Source organism: Homo sapiens, chromosome 3 (assembly GCF_000001405.40).
Source record: "Homo sapiens chromosome 3, GRCh38.p14 Primary Assembly".
Classification (NCBI taxonomy): domain Eukaryota; kingdom Metazoa; phylum Chordata; class Mammalia; order Primates; family Hominidae; genus Homo; species Homo sapiens.
The window spans coordinates 17,180,346-17,200,452 of NC_000003.12; the positions used below are offsets into that span (position 1 = coordinate 17,180,346).

The following is a 20,107-nucleotide window of genomic DNA, read 5'->3' on the forward strand; positions in this document are numbered from 1 at the left end:
GGGCCATTTGACCAAATGTCATTAAATAATTTTTAACTGAAAGGATTTTCTCTACATTTGTTCTGCTATCAGTTATAAAAACAGCCTTAAATAGTACTTGACATTTTAAGATACTTATTGCATGTGTGACAAAAACATAGGGCGATATAGTAATAGCAAAGATAGAGAAGCAACCTAAGTGTCCGGCATTGGATGGATGACTGGATAAAGAAAATGTGCTACATATATAAAATGGAATACTATTCAGCCATAAAAAGAATGAAATCATGTCTTCTGCAGCAACATGGATGGAACTGGAGGCCATTATGCTAAGTGAAACCACTCAGAAATAGTCAAATTCTGCATGTTCTCACTTACAAGTGGGAGCTAAATAATGTGTATATATGGACATAGAGCATGGAATAATAGACACTGGAGACTCAGAAAGGTGGGAGGGTGGTGAGGGATGAGAAATCACTTAATGGGTACAATGTACACTATTTGGGTGATGGTTCCACTAAAAGCCCAGACTTCACCACTGTGCAGTATATCCATGTATCAAAAGCGCATTTGTACCCCTTACATTTACACCAAAAAAAAAAAAAAAAAAGAAAAGAAAACATAAGGTGTGATGGAGTTCTCTCGATATGAATGGAACTTTGCGAAAATAATTAACATTAGGAAAGGATCTGGAGAAGTAACTCCTAGAGTAAGTTTCTGAGACAGCTCTCACAGCCACCTCAGTAGCCTGTACCCCAGTGCATAATGGAGGCTCAGTGGCCCTCATGTCACTAAGTGCCCCAGAGGCATCATTAAGTTCTGACATAGCTATTCTTGCTCAAGGAGCTCACACACCTCATCTTAGAACTAGCACATCCCAAATTCCAGCATCGTTTTGCATCATTTGATAGAGGAATATTCAGTTGGGTACTGGGAAATGTGGTACTAGTCCAGCTTTTCAACTAACCAGTTGTAGACTCTGGACAAGTTATTACTCAGCTCTACGGCCATGGGCTGGAAGAGTCTCTCAGATTCTTCCCTGAGAAGAGACAGTTAAAGAGTTAAAAGGAAAGATGAGATGACTTGTGTTTAATACCCACTTTGGGCCATTCCTGATACTAGGGTTTAAAAATATTTTTTGGCAAGGAACTGGCAAGATAGATGGAAATGTCAAGTACATATGTGTCGACATATGAGGACACATTCATAAGCAGGCTGAGTTAAGGGACAGGGCCTGGGTTCAACCCTAGATCTGTTTGATGCCTCATGAGGTTGTCTGTTTCTCAGACACCACTTCACCACCCTTACAACTGGCTCTGCCTGCTACGTATACAGGTTGACCCCCCAGTGCTAGTTACATGCACTGAAGCCATCCACAGATTTTCAGGGCATGTCTTCTATTTTCTAAGCATAGAAGATTAGGTCCCTTGGAAAGTCCCTCTATAACCTTCCTTTTACCTAGGCAACCACTGTTAACAGTATTTTCAGGCCAAATATATACCATTTTGCCATCTGTTTTTATCACCTAATAATCTATCACTAATATCTACTTATATTAACATTTTAATCTTTATAAAGATTGAATTATATTATACTATATTATATTCAATCCCTTACTAATGAACACCTTAGTCCTTCCAATTTTGTTCTCCTTTAATAATGAGAAAGAGAAACACATCTATGGAAAAAATAAGGGTATTAAAATAATTTCTTAAGAAGCCATAATATGTTAAAAAACAAATCAAGAGCATCAAGTCAACTTAATCTTCGTGTTTTCCTTGAATCTTTGCTTAGAATCAAAGTTGCCTACAATCTAGGAGCATCTTTTAATTAACCATTGTTGTATTGTGCATTTGAAGTGAAATGCATCTGTGGGCCGTGGAGCCAGGAATTCTTGGTAGCATCCCTTAATCCCACTTTAAAAACGCAGTCATGCTATTTATATGAGGGAAAAAAAAGTCAACAGCTATGTGAACGAGTTCTGGCTGAAAGTGAAACGTACACACAAAAACAAATCTAGTTTTGTGGTTAGCTGAAAATTCACAGCTGGTATAGGCTTTTCTTTCCATTTTAATTAAAGTGTTTCCCCCTCCCATGCAATGAGAAAATGCTCTTTCAGTGCTGATTGAAAGACCAAAGTCAGAGCAAAAGCTGTTTGAAAATTCCGAGGCTTAAGTAAAGCTGCTTTAAAAGTTGCTGTGTGTACCAAACAACTTGGGAATTTCCTAGCAGGATTCTGTGGAGTTCCAGTAAATCTTTCTCCCCATCACTTCTTTGCTCTCTTACTTTGGTGAAAACTAAAGTCAAGTAATGCAAAGGTCATCCAAGTAGCCAGAAAAGCAAAAACTATACATTCATTTTAAAATTAAAATTATATTTAAACAAGTAACCATAATTAGTCATATACAACTATATAAGCTATCTGTTTATTAGTTCTTTTTGGTGTATTTTAAAGTGCAATGATATTAGATAATATAAGATTCATGTAAAATTAGGTCTGTAACTTATTACCCCCATTTTTCTAAGAGAAAGAGAATGAGTTGTGTTTTTTTTTAAATTATTATTTTCTTCTTTTCTCTTTCCTCCCTTTGCCTTGTTCTCCATTTCCTACCTAGCTCTTTAAACGCAATCTTTACCTGCCCTTTACCAGACACTCCCTACAGGGCAAGCTTACCTAACTATGTGCTTGCTTAGAAGCTCCAGGACTGGAAATCTCTCCCACCCAGAGATTTCTCTGAGACAACAGTCACTTTGCAACCTCCAGTATGCCTGAGATGAAACTCTCCCCCCAACTGGAGAGTATCTCAGACAACAGTCACTTTACAACCTAGCTCTGCCTGTGCTGGCGCCAGCTTAACCACCTGGAAGATAAGGCAATGAAGCCACGGACACAGACCTTTAACTGCTCGTTCCTTCCCTGTTTGCTGTTCATGCCAAGTCCCCCTTTAAAAGCCTTTGTTTTCTGTCCCCAAAGTGAGGTGGTATCTTTAAGGGCAGAAGTCTGTACTTCTTCCCCTAAGCTAAGCTATGGAATAAAAAGTCTCCTTATACCAGCCAGAACTCACTCTTGTTAATTGGACTCTGCAAGTGGTAAGCGACCGAACTGGCGACTTGGTTATAGGTCTATATGAATTTTTAAAAATGATCATCAAGCAGCTTATTAAGAGAGTCTGTAAGAGGTGGATCAAATGTGACAGGGGTAATGTTTCTTGCTGTGATGAGAGATACTACCCTATCAATCATCTACCAGGGTTTCTCCTGCTGTTTTTCCCTCTTGAGCCCTTTCCCTGCAGGAGTGGTTGAGATGGTAGGAATATGGCTGAGGGTAGAACAGGACCCAGCCAGCTGCTAATAAGACACTGTCAGGCAGCCAGCCACTTAGATCAGCATCTCTCCAAATCTTTTAAGAGAACATTTATTATTTTACTGAGGCCAGTACGGTTTAGGCTATATCCAAATGACAGCCGTTGTTACTTGTAATGGCTTAGAGCTTGCTGGGGTTTGAAGGCAGAGAGTTTACCTCCAACGAAGGCCCCAGATGCCTTGGTGGATTCTCTTTGGTTTCTCCTCACAGGTGGGATGCATCCTGATTTCTTATAATACCTGGTATTGCCATTTCTCAACACTACAGAGCAGCACATTGGCCATTTCCATGAGTACATGTCTTAATTTCCTAATTTATTCATAAGTTACCAATCTTAGACACTGGACAGTGAAGAAACAAAGGCTGTCCATAAATGGGCTAAAAAATGGTAAAATGGTGCATGACAAAAGCTTTTGTAAGCAGCATGGAGTTACTGAAGTGATTCATACATGAGTCAGCATAAAGTATCTCTAATGTGAGATATAGCACCTTTACAAATGCAGAGCAGTGCCTGAAGACTTTCCAATGTGACATGCATGACCCACATGCAAAATGAACTTCAAACTGGGACATTTCTTAGAATATAAGCACAGTCAGAAGTAAGAAAAGGTCATGCATTTCAGGCAGGTGGTTAAAAAACACATTTTTATAAAAAAACAAAGAATTGTCAAAATAATAATCACATTAGTGATTACTGACAGGTTGGCACAGCAATATAGCTGATTATTTGATCTTGAAAACTCAATATTTCATTTTGGTCTGAGGTAAGTAGACATTTACAAAGGGCAATATACTAGGAGTTGAGATTTGTAGTCAGATTGCTTTTAAAGAATTTTTTATTTTATTATTTTTGTTTAGAGAAAGAGTCTCACTCTGTCACCCAGGCTGGAATATAGTGGCACAATCACAACTTGCTGCAACCTCAAACCCCTGGGTTTAAGCAATATTTCCATCTCAGCCTCTTGGGCAGCTGGGACTACAGGCACGTGCCACCATGCCCAGCTAATTAAAAAAAAAAAAATTTGTTGTTTTGTGTTGGTAGAGACAGGGTCTCAGTATGTTGCTCAGGCTGGTCTCAAATTCCTGGCCTCAAATCTTCCCACCTTGGCTTTCCACAGTGCTGGGATTACAGCTGTGAGCCACGGCATCCAGCTTATAATCGGATTGCTTGATTTTGAATTTCCACTCGATTTACTAATGATATAATCTTGGGGCATTTTCTTAATCCCTCTATGCCTTGGTTTCTTCATCTATATAATGTAGAGAGTGAGAGTAAGAGTACTTCTATTATATAGCTGTTGTAAGGATTAAATAAGGTAATTCATGTAAACAGCTTAGCACAAGGCCTAGAACAAAGTATTGCTAGTGGCTATTATTGTGATGAGTCTCATCGTTCCCAGGGCCAAAGTAATTCACTTACCAAGATGAGTGTCCATCACCTTTGCACAGTATTTGCACATGGCATCCAGGTCATTCAACTGCCCTTGAAGGAAGGAAATTTGGGCTTCTAATTCTTCTTCCTAAAATAAAGGGATAAACATATGGAAATTTTTTAGAGATTGTCAAATAAAATCTCCAAAGTTTTCTAAATGATCTAGACTAGTTTAAAGAAGCATGATACCTTTTTAAACCTAGACAAATCTAAATAGCAAACAAAAACAAAATCACAACTGCCACCACCAACAAAATAAAAAAAGGGTAAAATGGAAAATTTTAAACGTCTGGATTTTTCTAATTGAATTCTAGCTTTAGGCCATGTGTAAAGTTACAGTTAGATTGCATATACAATCTTGCATTGCAAATATTTGCATATACAACCTTGTATTTAAAAAGTGCACAATATATCTTCAACATTGAGCAACACAAATTAAGAGGGCAATCTGGATTTCAGTGAACTACACTTCCTAAGCAGCTGGTACAAAAACATTGCGTTTTTTTCACACATTTGAGAAACCAAAGATTTCCCTTTTTATAAGACAAATCTCTAAGCCTGGAACCTAGACTTTGTAAAAATAAAAAAAAAATAAAAAAAAAGACATAGCTCATCATTTTCTAGACAATGATAATCTCTTAAAATGTGAGATTTCCTAAAGCGCTTGGAAAAGTTTTGCCTCAGCAGCCCATAAATTGTTGCTCCTCTCTCTTGATATGACACTAAAATACTTCATTTATTTGTTTGTTTCTAGGAAAAAGTACTCTGGGTTGAATAATTATCTAAGTTAAATTATCTAAAAACAATCGAACTGTAACAAAAGGATGAAGCCTTTTTTTCTTTTCTTTTTTTTTTTTAAGGAAAAGATAATATAAGCAAAAAGTTTCCCAAGGAAATTTGGAAGATTATCGGAGTTTTTTTTTTTTTTAAGAGAAAAAGAATAATCCTCATCATTTAGCATACTCTAAACAAAGCTAGCTAGGATACCAAGAAAGGATACTGCCAGGGCTGGAATAGGCTAGAAAACTGATTTTCCAGTCTTAGATCTACTTGTCCTTTTGCATAAGAATCCTCTGTATCACTAAAAAAGAAGGAAAAAAAAACCTACTAAGGTATCCTTTCTCTTTGAGAATGAGTATAATTTGACTTGTGCATGGAAATTAATAGTTGAAAAGGTTACTTGTAGATGTATCCCATTTTAACAATATGTACATGCAGCACTGCAAATTATTGTTTTTAACTGCTGCCTGAAGAACTAGCCCGTAGGAATAGGCATTGAAACACTGGACACAGAAAACAGAAGTAGTGCTGGGTGCAGTGGCTCATGCCTGTAATCCCAGCACTTTGAGAGGCAGAGGCAGGCAGATCACTTGAGGTCAGGAGTTCGAGACCAGCCTTGTCAACATGGTGAAACCCCATCTCTACTAAAAATGCAACAAATTAGCTGGGAGTGGTGGTGAGTGCCTGTAATCCTAGCTACTCAGGAGGCTGAGGCAGGAGAATTGCTTGAATCCGGGAGGTGAAGGTTGAAGTGAGCCGAGATCATGCCACTGCACTCCAGCCTGGGCGACAGAGCAAAACTCTATCTCCAAAAAAAAAAAAAAAAAAAAAAAAAAAAAAAAAATTAAAAAAAGAAAAGAAAAGAAAATAGACATAATAGTAGCAGCTCTAAAAACAAATTACTGTGAAATGTCGACTGTAGGATTTACAAGCACTAACCATGTTCTTTACATATCCTGCAAGTGTAGCAGCCTCTCCTCCAATACTCAAATAAGAACAAATACTACAAGAAGCTTAGCCAAAGGATAATTAGAAGTAATTTTGGAGAGGTGGGGTTGTCTTCCTAACTCTGCAGCTGAGCATTAAGGTAGACAAGGATGGGGCATTTCAGGGCTTTTTTTCTACTCTTTTTCTCACTTGTTTCTGAACAGGCTTGAATTTCCCTCGTTATCACAGGAAACTGTAGGAATTAGAGAAAGAAGGCTACATCTGCTGCTTAATAATGATTGAGGTTAGTCTCCAAAGATGGCCACCATCAATTTCTTCCCTCCCTGACTCTGCATGTTGCTTCATTCATTACGAGGTAGTATGTATTCCCCCTGTCCTTGAATCTGGACTGGCCTATGACTTGCATTGATCCAGAGCATTTAGCCGAAATCAAACTTCTAATTTTGAGCTAGTTTAAGGGGACTGCCAGCTTCTGCTTTCATTAGAAGCTAGCTACCATGCTGTAAAGAAGTTTAGGCTACAATATTGAAAGAAAGGAGAGAACACATAGAGAAAAAGAGGGCACATGAGAAGCTCAAAAGTTCTAGACACGTGAATAAAGTTTTTCTGGACTTTTCAGCCCAAGCCAGCTGAAGCCAGCCCAGTAAGTGACCCAGTCAATACCATGTGGAGCAGAAGAAGAGCCTGAGCCCTGCCCAAATTCCTGATCCACAGATCTATGATGGGAGTACTAGATTTTGGAGTAGTTTGTTATGCAGCAATAGACAACAGAAATAGTGGCAGAATGAAAACAACACTAACTTAGCATATGGCATGAGGAAACATAAGTTCTATTCCTGGTCCTGCCTGGTCCTCCCCAATGAGCGGAGTCTAGAACTGTACCGAAGCCAGAGTTTGATAGTCTTGTAAAAAGAGAGGGCCAACCTATGGCCTGTGTTTCGCCTTACAAGTGGCTACCAACTGGGGTGCTGACAGCCCAGAGTGGACCAAGGGCACAAGGAATGCAGTGCTTCTTGGCTTAAAAACTTCTCCTCTATTTACTCCATGCATTAGTTTAAATTGGATTAGCCACCACTTATTTTAAAATACAAAAGCCGTTGGGAGCTTTGATACTCAGCAGTCATTCCTACCTGAATGGATTCATTTTCTTTTGCAAAGGAACTCAAACTGGGTAGGAAGAACTTAGAAGACACGCTTTAGAGGATATAGGCACAGCCTGTTGGCAGTGAGGTGTTGAACAGCTGGTGGAAAGTATGAGCTTAAAGAGGGCCTCTTTCTCAAAACATTTTATTCCTCTAGCAGGAACATTACTGTAATAAAGACTGCGATGAGACTGGGGCCCTCTAACTTGTATAGTTAATGGGGAAGTCCTAAGAGTGTAGCAGTCCAGGGCACTTGCTGGGAAAATATGCAGGGATATAAAAACACAAATTTCCAAGTTTTCAATTTTTGCTTAGGGCTCTGGTGGCAGCCACTGAAGTGCATCTTGAATACCTAAAACCCAAGTAGATCTTGATACAAACAGAATCTGTTTGTCTCAATATAAACACATGGAAAAAGGCAACTTTGAATCAGATAAACCTTCTTTTTCAAAGGGATGGTTATACAAAAGCCAAATATGTGAGATAAAAGAGGACTACTCTGGCTGAAGCAGGCTGAGGTACCAAGAACCTCGTCCATAGTCTGAAATCCAGTGTATTATCCTTCTAGAGTTTGCTTAATCTTAAAACATTTCTAAACCCTTCAACTATCACTCAGACTTTATAAATAGAAATGGAATCACTTGGAGGCAAAAGGGTGGCTTGTCATTTATTCTTCACTATATTATATAATTACACATAAAAGAAAGAGCCAAGAATCAAGCTTCCAAAACTGTGGGAACTGACTTTACATTTTTATCTTTTCTCATCCTCCACACTCCTCCCAACTAACAATGCTTTAGACATTGATAGCTTTAGTTATTTGTTTTCATTAAACTGGTCCTCTGTAATAAAAATGCTTGGCTAATTGCCTTGAGGTTTTATGAAACCAACCAGCTAGTGTTAATTGTTATGTGTAACTAAGACACTGAAGATAAATGTTCATTATATTTACTTTTATGTGTATGTCCTGCCTTCCATTATAGGAGGGCATAGGGTGGGGAACAAAGGAATGCTGAAATAGACACAGCTGGGTTCACATCCTATTTTTCTCAGTTATTAGCTGTATAATCTTGGACAAGTTCCTTAATTCCTTGGTCTACTCAACCCCACCTGGCAGGATCGGGGGAGAACAAAATGAGAACATATGGAGAACACAGCATCTGGCACAGAGCAGACACTCAATAAAGGTAATTATTCTTTCTTTAAAAAAATTTTTTTATAATCAAGTTAAGACAGTGAAATGGATTTAAATACAAAGTTTTATGATTCACTGTTGGAAAACATTAGTTTCTGGCTTTAAAACCTTTATGTAGCTTAGCCCAGAAAGATTAATTAAAGCTTAAGAGCCCATCACCGTCTTAAGCATGGGATAGCAAACTAATGTACAAGGCAAGAAATTGATAGAGGAGGATAAAGTTGGGCCACCTGTAGACTACAATGTGCAACATCACCAATTGTAATTGGTGCCCTATAGCAAAGGACCAGAAGATGAGGGCCACTCTATAAGAAGAGAAAAATAACTAGCATCAAATCCCTTCATATTGATTGTAATACGCCAGACACTGAGCTTTGCTGTATTAACATGTTTACTCTTCACACAAACTTCTGAGGTATATTCTCTCATTATCTCCGACATAAAATATGGCCTACTCCTCTGTAAGCCACAGTCTCTGGAAGTGTATGCTAAGGTTTAGATAGCTCTTTGAGAACCCAAGTCACTTGGCCTGCTACTCTCATTTCTTCCCTGTGTACACATCCCTTCCTATGCTCCATTACCATGGTCCTTCCCATGAATAATCCCATATTTCAGTTTCCTTTACCTGAGATTCACCAGCTGTAATGCTGAGCCCTAATGCCAAATTGCTTATTAAATTGTTTTCCTTCAAAAACATTCAGATATGATTGGCTGTATTGTTTTGTTGTTTGTTGAATGATTTTCTTTTTGACTAAATAATCTGAAGAAATTGTTTTTTGAATTTGCTTTTTAATAAGTGGTGTTTCTATCATTCTGCCCCAAATAGTTGATGCATCATTAGACTTCTATTGAAATGTTAGGTATCTCAGCTGTTTAAATTTAATATGTCAATTTTATTAATTAATTCAATGTAGTCCTGCTATTTCTTTGTTAAAAAGAGGATAAACTTTCATAGTTTATTATTCATTCATATATTAATTTTTTCAAAAGTGATGTTTGTTTGCATTGTGTTAGGCCTTGTGAGAAATACAATAATGACTAAAACATGGCCACTGAAAAAGTTTAGAGGATGGTCAAACCTGTACAGAAAGCCAAGAGAGGTACAAGATAAGTTCTGTAGAAGAGACGTGAGAGAGGACTCCTTACAATTCTGGAAAGGGAAGATGATTTCAATTTGTGTATGTGGAAAGGAAAGGAGGTTTTCTAGTGTTTTTGAGGGGTCCTGAAGAAGGAGAGTCTTGGCTTAGACAAAATAATAAGGAAAGATGTTTTAGGAGGCAGGAAAGTATGGCACCTAGGCAACCAGGCAGTCACTGAGCTGAGCCAGAACATGGGGATAGTACGAGCTGAGGTTCAGCAGAAAGGCTTCCCTTCCTCTTCTGTTCATCCCTGTTGCATTTTCACTTCACATAATTATGTTTTCGGGGTTGGGGTTTGACATGCAGACTACTGTGGCCACTGCCCCCAACACACACCATGCTGACAGATTATTATACAGGCTGCAGTGGTGTTTCTGTCCATGGACTAATTCAAACTCCAGGGGAATAGTGAGGCAGGAATGGCACTGAGGTGGAGTTCTGCTTAGCTTCTAAGTGGGTGTCCTCAGATCACAAGAGAAGCAGACAAGGGAACCAACACTAACTGTAGGCAGCAGGAACAGGCTAAATATAGCAACCAGAAGACAGGAAAGACGCCCAGTCTTTCTTGAGCAGATGGGTGAACAAGAAGTGGGAAGTAAAGGAAACGGAAAGTCTCAAGGAGAAAAAGTGGAAAGGCCACGGATGTTCGGAGGAAGCTGTGGTGTACACAAGGGCAAAACACATACACGGTGTGAATGAAATCCAAGTCAGAAGCATATGGTATCAGCAGAGGAAGATACCACCAGAAAAAATAGAAGAAGAGCACAAAGAAGACTTTTTAAGAGTATTAAAATAAGTGGTATGAGGTGTGAAGCTGTGCAGCCATACTGGTGAACAAGCTGGAATATAAATCACAAGCCTTAAAATCAGTATATACTAGGCTTGACACTTACCTTCTCTGTGATTCTGACCAGATAGCAAAGTTCTTTGAGCCTCAGTTTCCTGTTTACAAAATGGTGATAATAATAGTTTCTACCTCATGTGCTTGTTGGAGGACTGGATTTGAATTACATTAGGTTTTCCAGATTAAATACTTTGCACAGTGCTTAGGACATGGTAAACACTCAATAAATGTGAATTTTATTGTCTCTGAATTTTAATACAATCCTAGAAAGTTATTTCAAAGGATTATGAATGCATGCAAGAATAACTCCCAGGATATTCATCACACATTCAATGGCAACATGCACACATATGGGCATAGGCACCTCACAGAAATCCTAAATGTCTAATGATGGGTGATTTGGGTAACTTGTGGAACATTTATAAACAGTATGCTATGCAAACCTTATTTTTTATTTATTTTTTTTGAGACAGAGTCTCGCTCTGTTGCCCAGGCTGGAGTGCAGTGGTGTGATCTTGGCTCACTGCAACCTCTGCCTCCCACGTTCAGGCGATTCTCCTGCCTCAGCCTCCCAAGTAGCTGGGATTACAGGCACCTGCTACCACACCCGGCTTTTTTTTTTTAAATATATTTTTAGTAGAGATGGGGTTTCACTATGTTGGTCAGGCTGGTCACAAACTCCTGCCCTCAAGTGATCCGCCTGCTTCAGCCTCTCAAAGTGCTGGGATTATAGGCATGAGTCATCGCACCCAACTTATGCAACCTTTAAAATGTATTTATAGGAGAACATTTAAGAACGACATATCACATACTAATTGGGAAAACAGGTTACAAAGTAGTAGGTAAACAATGATTCTGATTTCAAAAAATATATATATATGCATAGAAAAAAATAATGGATAGTCCCCAAATAGTTTATATTGGTTTCTTTCAAATGGTGGAATTATGGGTGATTTTTTCTCTCCTTTTTGCTAATTTTCGGTGGATTTTCTACAATGAAATTGGATCATATTTTTGTAATAAGAAAATCAAATAATGCAAATAACATAATAGAGAAGAAAAAAGTGAAAGGTGATTGCCAAGGAGAAAAAAGACATAACTGATTCCAAATCAAACTCCAAGTAATATTCTATACTCTAAACAAATCTGTATTCTAAACGACACTAAATAGAGAAACTTCTATGAAATAAATTGTAAAAAAAAAAAAAGGTAAATAATTAGCATATTTTGTCCCATGTGCAAACCTGGAGTAGTATAGCATTCTTATGGTAAAGGGCTTCCTTCTATATGATTAAAATGAGAACGTTAGTGGATGCTGCTCTTTATGGGTTGCCTAGAAATAACGTGATTCTTAAAGATATTTTAAAAATAAAGATGCTTACAAAATCCCCCAGTAAATAGCAGTTCCCATTTTTGGACAGGATGTAAACAAACAAGTTAAATGTAAATGGAAATGGCCTTTAGAAATTTTGAACTGAAATTCAAAGCTCAAGATGTCACATTTATGCTATCCAATTATATCATTTCAGAACTGGAAATGTCTTTAGAGATCATTTATTTCAACCCCTTCTTGTTTACAAATAAAGCAGCTTTTGTATGGCCAGGTAGCTGGGCAAGTAGCAGAAATCCCACTGGTAGGCTTCCTTGTTTTTCAGCCACTGAAGCACTGCGGTGTCCCACCGCTGACGTCCTCACTACCAGGGAACACTGGATTTGTCCCGACAGGATGGGTTTTCATAACAATCACTGAGCCCTTTTCCTTCTACCCCACATCCTCCTGTACTAGCAGTGCTCCTTCCTGACTATTGAAGGCTACAGCAAAGTCACTAAAACCTAAACTCCACAGGATTTTGTATCACTTTTCACTCCTTTAGTTTCCCCCAGAAACTTGGATAAAACCTCTACATTAAACAATACTGACTCCTTATAATTTATAAAGTTAAAAATTGCCTGTGATAAAATTGGGGTGGCCCGGTGAGGCATGAGTCAGGCTTTCTCCAGCCCAGAGCTCCTCGCTGATTGTGCTGCTTCAGCTGGCTCTAATAGATAGTGATCATTCAAACCCCTTCTCTTCAGGAGCCCAACAGGGGCTGCAGGGCAAGACCACAAGGTCAAGTATAGGGAGAAACCTTTATTTTTCCCTGCAAAAATTTTCTCTACCAAATTGCTACTTGACTTATAGCATATCCCTAGAATTGACAAATTACATATCAACTTCACATTCTCTTCATTGGTTTACATGCGAAGAGTTTCAAATCTCTTTTTGAAGTCAGGTGTTGGCAGGTTAAAATAATTAATTCAGATCACATGCTTGCCGTGGGTGCGACATATGGGGTATGGATTACAAATATTTTAAAAATAGTGCATGTAAGGTTCACAAAATTAAGGGAAAGAAATTTCCCTTTATATTCAGCTGTTGCTTATAAGTTTTATTGAGGGACTAAAAAAGATCTTCATTTCTTACCCCTTTTTATTCTTCGGGTCTACCTGATAAGGCAGAAATTCTTCATTGCCCAGTTATGACTAATAACTTCTTTTGTAGATAGCGCTAACCACAGACTCTATTTCCCTCAGTTTTCTAATTTGTAAAATAGGAAGCAATTCTAGCAGTGACCTTATAGCGTTGCTTGAGGATTAAAATAGCTAATACATGTAAAATGCTTAGAACAGAGGACACACTTACAGAAGGTGTTCTATAACTATTAGCACTTAGCCACCATTTACAAGGAGAACATGCTCACACTAGGATATATTTGAAGCTTGCTTTATATGTAGAAAATCTCATTCCTTATTTGGTATTCAATTAATGTTATTAATATCAATTTTTTCGATCTTTAATATGAATAAAAATCAGCTGGGGATCTTGTTAAAATGCAGAGTCTGATTTAGTAGGTCTGGGTTGGGGCCTAAGATTCTGCATTTCTAACAATCTCCCAGGGGATGGGATGCAGCTGGTCCATGGACCACAATTTGGATGGCAAGGATTTAAATAACTCATCTCACGCTAACCTTCTATTAATATTTACTTCTGAATATCTCTTCCCGTCATTCTAGGAAGGCTGTGAAGTACTTTACTATCTATCTGATCTAAGGCAATTTTAACAGATGGCTGCATGGTTAGAAGCGTATTTGGTGACAGTCCGAAAGACCTCTTCTCAACATGGAGTAGGATGCAGCGGGGAGAGAAGCAGGGTGACAAGCTTCCAGGAGAGCCTTCCAATCTCCCTGAGTTAGTTTTGTACTGAGTAGCTCTATTATTCTATTTAGAGCTAATTCTTAGACCATTAGATATCAGTTTATTCTATTGTAAACACAAACATTTATACAATTTCTCATTAAAAACAAGTGAAATATGAATTAATTTTATTGGATTATGCATGCTCTCTTCTGTAACTTTTGACAAAGGCTGTGTATTAAGTATCAGAGAATAAAAGATGCTTTTCAAACATAAAATGCAATGAAAAGGAAATGGCAAAAATACTTCCATAATTCATGGTATTTAAATTCATCCCTGATTTTCAGAAGATATCTTTCTGAATATATGATTTCTGAAAAAATCATAAGTAATATTTATTAAGAACTTTTAGCCTTTAGAAACATGCTTTTATACCTACTGCCATTTTAACATTGTGAGCCATTTTAATCTAATTTTGCTTTCCTAGAAGTTGCCTACAAAAAATAATAAAGTAAACAGAAAAGACAAGAACGGTGCCAGAAAACAGGATCATGTGCTACAAATATCTAAAGTAAAGTAAATAAGCTTACAATCTGGAATAAATATACTGGAAATTGAAATAAAACCTTTAATTAGGACCAACTTCACATAGGTGTAACCAGAGGAAGAATAAAACCTCACTTGCAGAGTTACAAACCTCATTATTTGCAAAAGTCCTATAACTGCAGTTTAAAATAATTATATGCATATGGTATGTCTTCTTAGCCCTGTAAAAATTCAAAAGGTATAAAAGGTGTCTCCTAGAAGTGCTTATGTATGGGAGTCTAATTAAATGGCATTTGTGGAGAAATGCTCCCATCTTTTGGGCTTTTATGCTGTCATTTCTGTGTTGTGTTTTTATAATTAGGCAACCTGACCAATCATTTGGAAACCCATGTAGTTCTCTCCTCCACCAGGACAATAAACACAGATGTTACTCTACTTAACAAGGGTTTTCCCCCTCCCCACTTACACGTGATAAGACCAACTGATGAAACCAGCCAGCCAGCACCAGGGCCTCCAGCTGAGTTTCTCATAGCAATGCTGGCTGGGCAAAACCATCTGCGTGCTCTCCCTTGCTGTTCCTGGCACCAAGGGTAGGCATCTGCACAATGGCTGGCCCAGATAGAAGGGCCTGAGCCAAGACTGTTTTTCTTATGACAAAGCTAATTGATCCGTGTGAAGATGAAATGTACACACTTGCACAACTTATTCTCTGGGCTAACTGACCTCTATAATGTCCCAATAGAGACAGACAAAAAACCGTACCCTGCAGCAAATCCAAGCTGAGGATCAAGTACAGTTTAAGAACTACTTTAAGTAACAACTGGTAAAAGCAAGTAAGTTTTGGAACAGCCTTGATATTTCTTTCTTTTTTTTTTTTTTTTAACATAAACATTACCACTTCTGAGACTTCTGGAAAGAAAAAAAGGTGAGAAGGAAATAATTCTCTAAATTGCCTGGTTTATTCATATGCCTATCATACTTTTGTTAGTTCATCCCTTAAGTTATACCCCATCTCTCACTAAATACCAACAATTCCTATTAGCTTTTTAAATAAGTGGTTGGTAAATGCTGCTGAGAAATGAAGCAACTTTTCAGGCTCTAGAGGACGCCAGAGCAAAGCCTAAGACATCTCAATACTTGCACAACACACAAAACCCTCAACAGCATTCATTTATTCCTAAACGTTTACTGAGTGCCAGACACAATATCTGGCACAGAAGATACAGTGACAAGCGCCTGCAAGAGCCTTATAAGTAAACACAAGTAGTTCTCTGACATTCAAAACGGGAAACATTTGCAGATTACGTAGGACACCCTCCATCTCAAGATGCTGCTGCTTTAGGTTTGGGGAGGGGCTCTGAAATCTGCAGCTTAACTAGGGCCCCAGCTACTTATTACAAGTGCTGAAAGCTCCTAGCAGAGAAGGCTCCATGGGACACAAGGTGCTTGGGCTGAGACTGGAAGGGACTCTATTTTGTGGCTACATCAATCACTCTGGTCAGAAGAGACAGTGAAGGGAAACAACACAGAAGTATGAGAAAGCATGCTTGGTTTAAGGGAAGTGAAACAGCTATGCATTCCTGAGGGGCTGGGGAGGAGTAAGAGGGAGGACTAATGATAAGGCTGAACAGGGTGAGACTGTAAAGGGCCCTACAGGGCATACCTTAAAATTGAGGGATTTATCCTAGGGAGAAGGGCTCCTGCAGAATTCTGATGAGGAGTCAAAGCATATGAGTCAGACATACACGATGCACACGTTGGTGTCGTGAAATACTTTGGGTATATGTTGACCATTAATAAAATGGATTAACTCTAAAATTTCTAATTAACATGGGTTTGTTACTTGAGAACAAGAAAATTATGTAGAGTGTAACCTTTCTATATTCTCATTCCTCCAACTCGCCAAATCCAGAAGCTGCATGTCATGAACTGTATAGAGTCAGTTCCGTTATAATGCTTGTTTTGAAAATGTGAACTTGTTTCAATGAGATCAATGTATTAGGGAATAATTGAGCATAACCCGAAGTTCACATTTGCTTACACACAACATCATCCTCAAGAAATAATGGGTGAATGCAGAAAACTCCACATAGATGAACGCAGCTACACGTAGGAATGCAGGAATACACAAAATGCCTACATGCATGCAACACAGATATCTGCCAGCTACCTCCATTCCGTGTGTGTTATGGGCTACTTCCATAACCAAATCCATCAGATTCCATCCAGATAACTCTCCTCCACCACTTCACAGTGACTCACAAGCTGCAACCCTTCCAATGTCCACTTCCGCAACTGAGCTTCAGGTATTTTTCAAGGTAAAGTATCATATTTATTGCACTATTTATTTCTTAATCACTTAACGTGTAAAACCACTCTACCACTTTTATTAGGTTCCTACTTTGTTTCATGTGGCACTGATGACCTTTTTTTTTAGTGTTGTACCTCGATCCAATTTTCCCCACAAGCCCTGGGGTTTTTATCTTATTATTTTTATTACTATTTTAGAGACAAAGTCTCGCTGTTACCCAGGCTGGAGTACAGTGGTGTGATCATGGCTCATCGCAGCCCTGAACTCCTAGGTTTAAGCGATCTTTTCACCTCAACCTCCCAAATAGCTAGAATTACAGGTGTGTGCCACCAAGCCCAGCTAATTTTTTTTGGTAGAAATGGGGTCTTGCTATGTTGTCCCAGCTGGTCTTGAACTCCTGGCCTCAAGCAATCCTCCCACCTCAGCCTCTCAAAGCACTGGGATTACAGGCATGAGTTACTGTGCCTAGACTCCCTGTGGTTTTTAATGCATGTCTTTGCATAGCATAGTGATTTTGGGGAACATTTGTCACCTCAGAACTGACAATTCCGCTGGATGGGGTGCAGTAGCTCATGACTGTAATTCCAGCATTTTGGGTGGTTGAGGCAGGCAGGTCACTTGAGCTCAGGAGTTCAAGACCAGCCTGGGCAACATGGTGAAACCCCATGTCTACAAAAAATACAAAAATTAGCTGGACATGGTGGCTCGCGCCTGTAGTCCCAGCTACTTGGGAGGCAGAAGGGGTTGGATTGCTTGAGCCCAGGAGGTGGAGGTTGCAGGGAGCCGAGATTGTGCCACTGCACTCCAGCCTGGGTGACAGCATGAGTCCCTGTCTCAAGAAAAAAAGAACAGTTCTGAAGACGACTGTTCAATGAAGATAAATACATTCATGAAAATCAAATTTATATTTTTTTCCAGAAAGGTAATTGCAGAAAAGTTTTAGTCTAGACATCATGGTATCACTCAGTGTTTATGAAACAGAAGTGTTACCTGTACTATTGTTCTTTATAGGGGCTAGGGCTGGTGTTCCCTGTGTCTCCTTCCCAAGAGGGCCCTGCAGCCATGAGCCCCCTCCAACCCAATCTACAGTTGTGGGCAGTGGCTGGGCCTGATGGATTTAAGGGTAATCTAGGAATTTTGGCCAATAAGACATAAAGGAAGTCTTGGTGAGTAGCTGTTGAAAACGCCTTTAAGATAGGGTTGCCATATTTAGAAATAAAAACATAGAACATAGGATTAAATTTGAATTTCATATAAACATCAAATAAAGTTTTTAGTATAAATATGTCCCATGTAATATAAGATACTTATACTAAAAAATTTACTCATTATTTATCTGAAATTCAAATGTAACTGGGCATTTTGTGTTTTATCTGGCAAACCTACCTTTAAAAAATGCCCTAGAAGACATGGTCATTCTCCTCTCGATGTTGGTGAATGGATATGGTGTCTAGAACTATTACAACTGTCTTGCTTTCAACCTGGGGAAGAGTTCGTTCTGGGAAGGGCAGGGCAGGTCAGGGCAGAGAGATGGCAAGAAACTGCATCCTTGAAGACACAGGTGAGCTTCTAAATTAGTGGTTCTAAACCTTGACTACATATTTGAATACTCCAGAAAGTTTTTAATAATTACCAATGCCCATGCTCCACTGGAAAGATTCTGACTCAGTTCTTCTGTGACCAGTATTGATTAAAACATTCTCCCAGGCCATTCTAACGTATGGTCGGGAATGGGAAGTCCTTGGAACTTGAGCTAAATAACTTTCCTTGTTACCGGAATCAGTGTGAATTGCATTTTCCGCTACATGTAGCTGAAAGCATACTAAATAAAGACAGTCTCTAGAGTGAAACGCAAGGTTCCGCATTTAAACGTTTTATAGTTAGTCCATCTTGGAAATTTAAATCACAATTTCTGGCAAAAAAATTAGGACTGCTCATTTATTTGAGAAAAAGCTCATGTCTCAGCCCAACCTTCAAATCTAAATCCGAAATCAAGGGTGTCAAAAAAGAAGTCTGGTCATAACAGAGGACTGAGGATGTATGACTGATTATAGACATTAAGAAAACAATCAATACCTCATTTATCCTGTGCAATAAACAGATATTCATGTTTTCATCACTGTCCAGCTAAAATGATATTATAGTTTGACAGTTGTCTAGAGATGAATTTAAGATTTCCATAAATGTTACCATCATCACATATTGGTATCATGCTGATTTCATTCTTATTTTCAAAAACATTATTCTTGATATTTTATGGAATATTTTCACATCATGATACATGAATAACAGTTGCATGTAGAGTGTACAAATATGCTTCAAACCCAAATGGTTGCTTAGAATCCAACTGAGAACATCCCAAAGTTAAGCAATTTGGCAGCACTTCTCACTGTTTTAAGTTGATTGGGACATTGTATTGAGGCCTCCTTCAAATTTTGGACCATGTGGTAGTATATATATGTACTGAAGGGACCTATGGAAGGACTCAGGTAAAATGTTGCAAACTGTCCCACCTTTGGGATAGCCACCAGGAATAAAAAGGTGATGATGATCAAGAGGCCAGAGCGATTACCTGGAGGTAATCCTTGATGTTGATCTGAAAGGCCCTTTTTGTAGCACGGACAAGGTATGGTTGAATTTGGTTTATTTAATGAGATCAGGCCATCTTTCAGAGTTCCTCACAGAGGCAAAAATAAGAAAGATATCAAATGTTAAAGCAGAACAGTAAGAACATTAAAGGTGAGAAAAGTAGAGAAATGTGACCATGAAAGCCAGAAGTCTGAGTCTAGTCTTGGGTCTATGAACAACTGATGAGCTAGAGAGGGGAAAGGAGGGAGCTTCCCTTTTCACAATTGTTTTTCAAGTAGAAATAATTTTCTTATTCTTTTCTCTCTTTTCAAATATAGCCTATAACTTTTTAGGATTTAACATAAGGCCAATTTGTTCTTGGCTTATTATAAACACTATATTTTGCTGTTAAAGTTCCTGTCTACTGACCAAAGTAACTTTGGAAAGCAACATATTGACTGGAAATGATAAGGCCATAGATAGAACTGTACATAAACACTGTACTATAGTTCAGGGGTCCCCAAACCCCGGGCTACAGACCAGTAGTTGTTCGCGGCCTGTTAGGAACCATGCTGCACAGTAGGAGGTGAGCAGCAGGCAAGCAAGCATTACCACCTGAGTCCCACCTCCTGTCAGATCAGCAGCAGCATTAGATTCTCATAGGAGTGTGAAGCCTATTGTGAA

At 38.6% G+C, this 20,107-nt stretch overlaps 1 protein-coding gene across 62 annotated transcripts in view, besides 3 other annotated features; it reads right to left on the reverse strand.

The window, feature by feature from the left end:
- TBC1D5 (TBC1 domain family member 5) overlaps positions 1–20,107 on the reverse strand; it is a 585,470-nt gene that overhangs the window by 23,184 nt on the left and 542,179 nt on the right. For all 62 annotated transcript variants that reach the window (XM_047449296.1, XM_011534283.4, XM_047449314.1 and 59 more), the window contains one exon: positions 4,764–4,863. In XM_047449296.1, coding sequence (XP_047305252.1) covers positions 4,764–4,863 — 100 coding nt within the window. The remainder of the gene's footprint in view (positions 1–4,763; positions 4,864–20,107) is intronic.
- Positions 2,020–2,119: a silencer, noted in NCBI's record as "silent region_14123". NCBI's record gives its function as "represses an Ori minimal core promoter by ATAC-STARR-seq in GM12878 lymphoblastoid cells {active_cell/tissue: GM12878}" and the evidence as "EXISTENCE:reporter gene assay evidence [ECO:0000049][PMID:35858748]".
- Positions 15,913–16,022: an enhancer, noted in NCBI's record as "active region_19568". NCBI's record gives its function as "activates an Ori minimal core promoter by ATAC-STARR-seq in GM12878 lymphoblastoid cells {active_cell/tissue: GM12878}" and the evidence as "EXISTENCE:reporter gene assay evidence [ECO:0000049][PMID:35858748]".
- Positions 16,203–16,252: a silencer, noted in NCBI's record as "silent region_14124". NCBI's record gives its function as "represses an Ori minimal core promoter by ATAC-STARR-seq in GM12878 lymphoblastoid cells {active_cell/tissue: GM12878}" and the evidence as "EXISTENCE:reporter gene assay evidence [ECO:0000049][PMID:35858748]".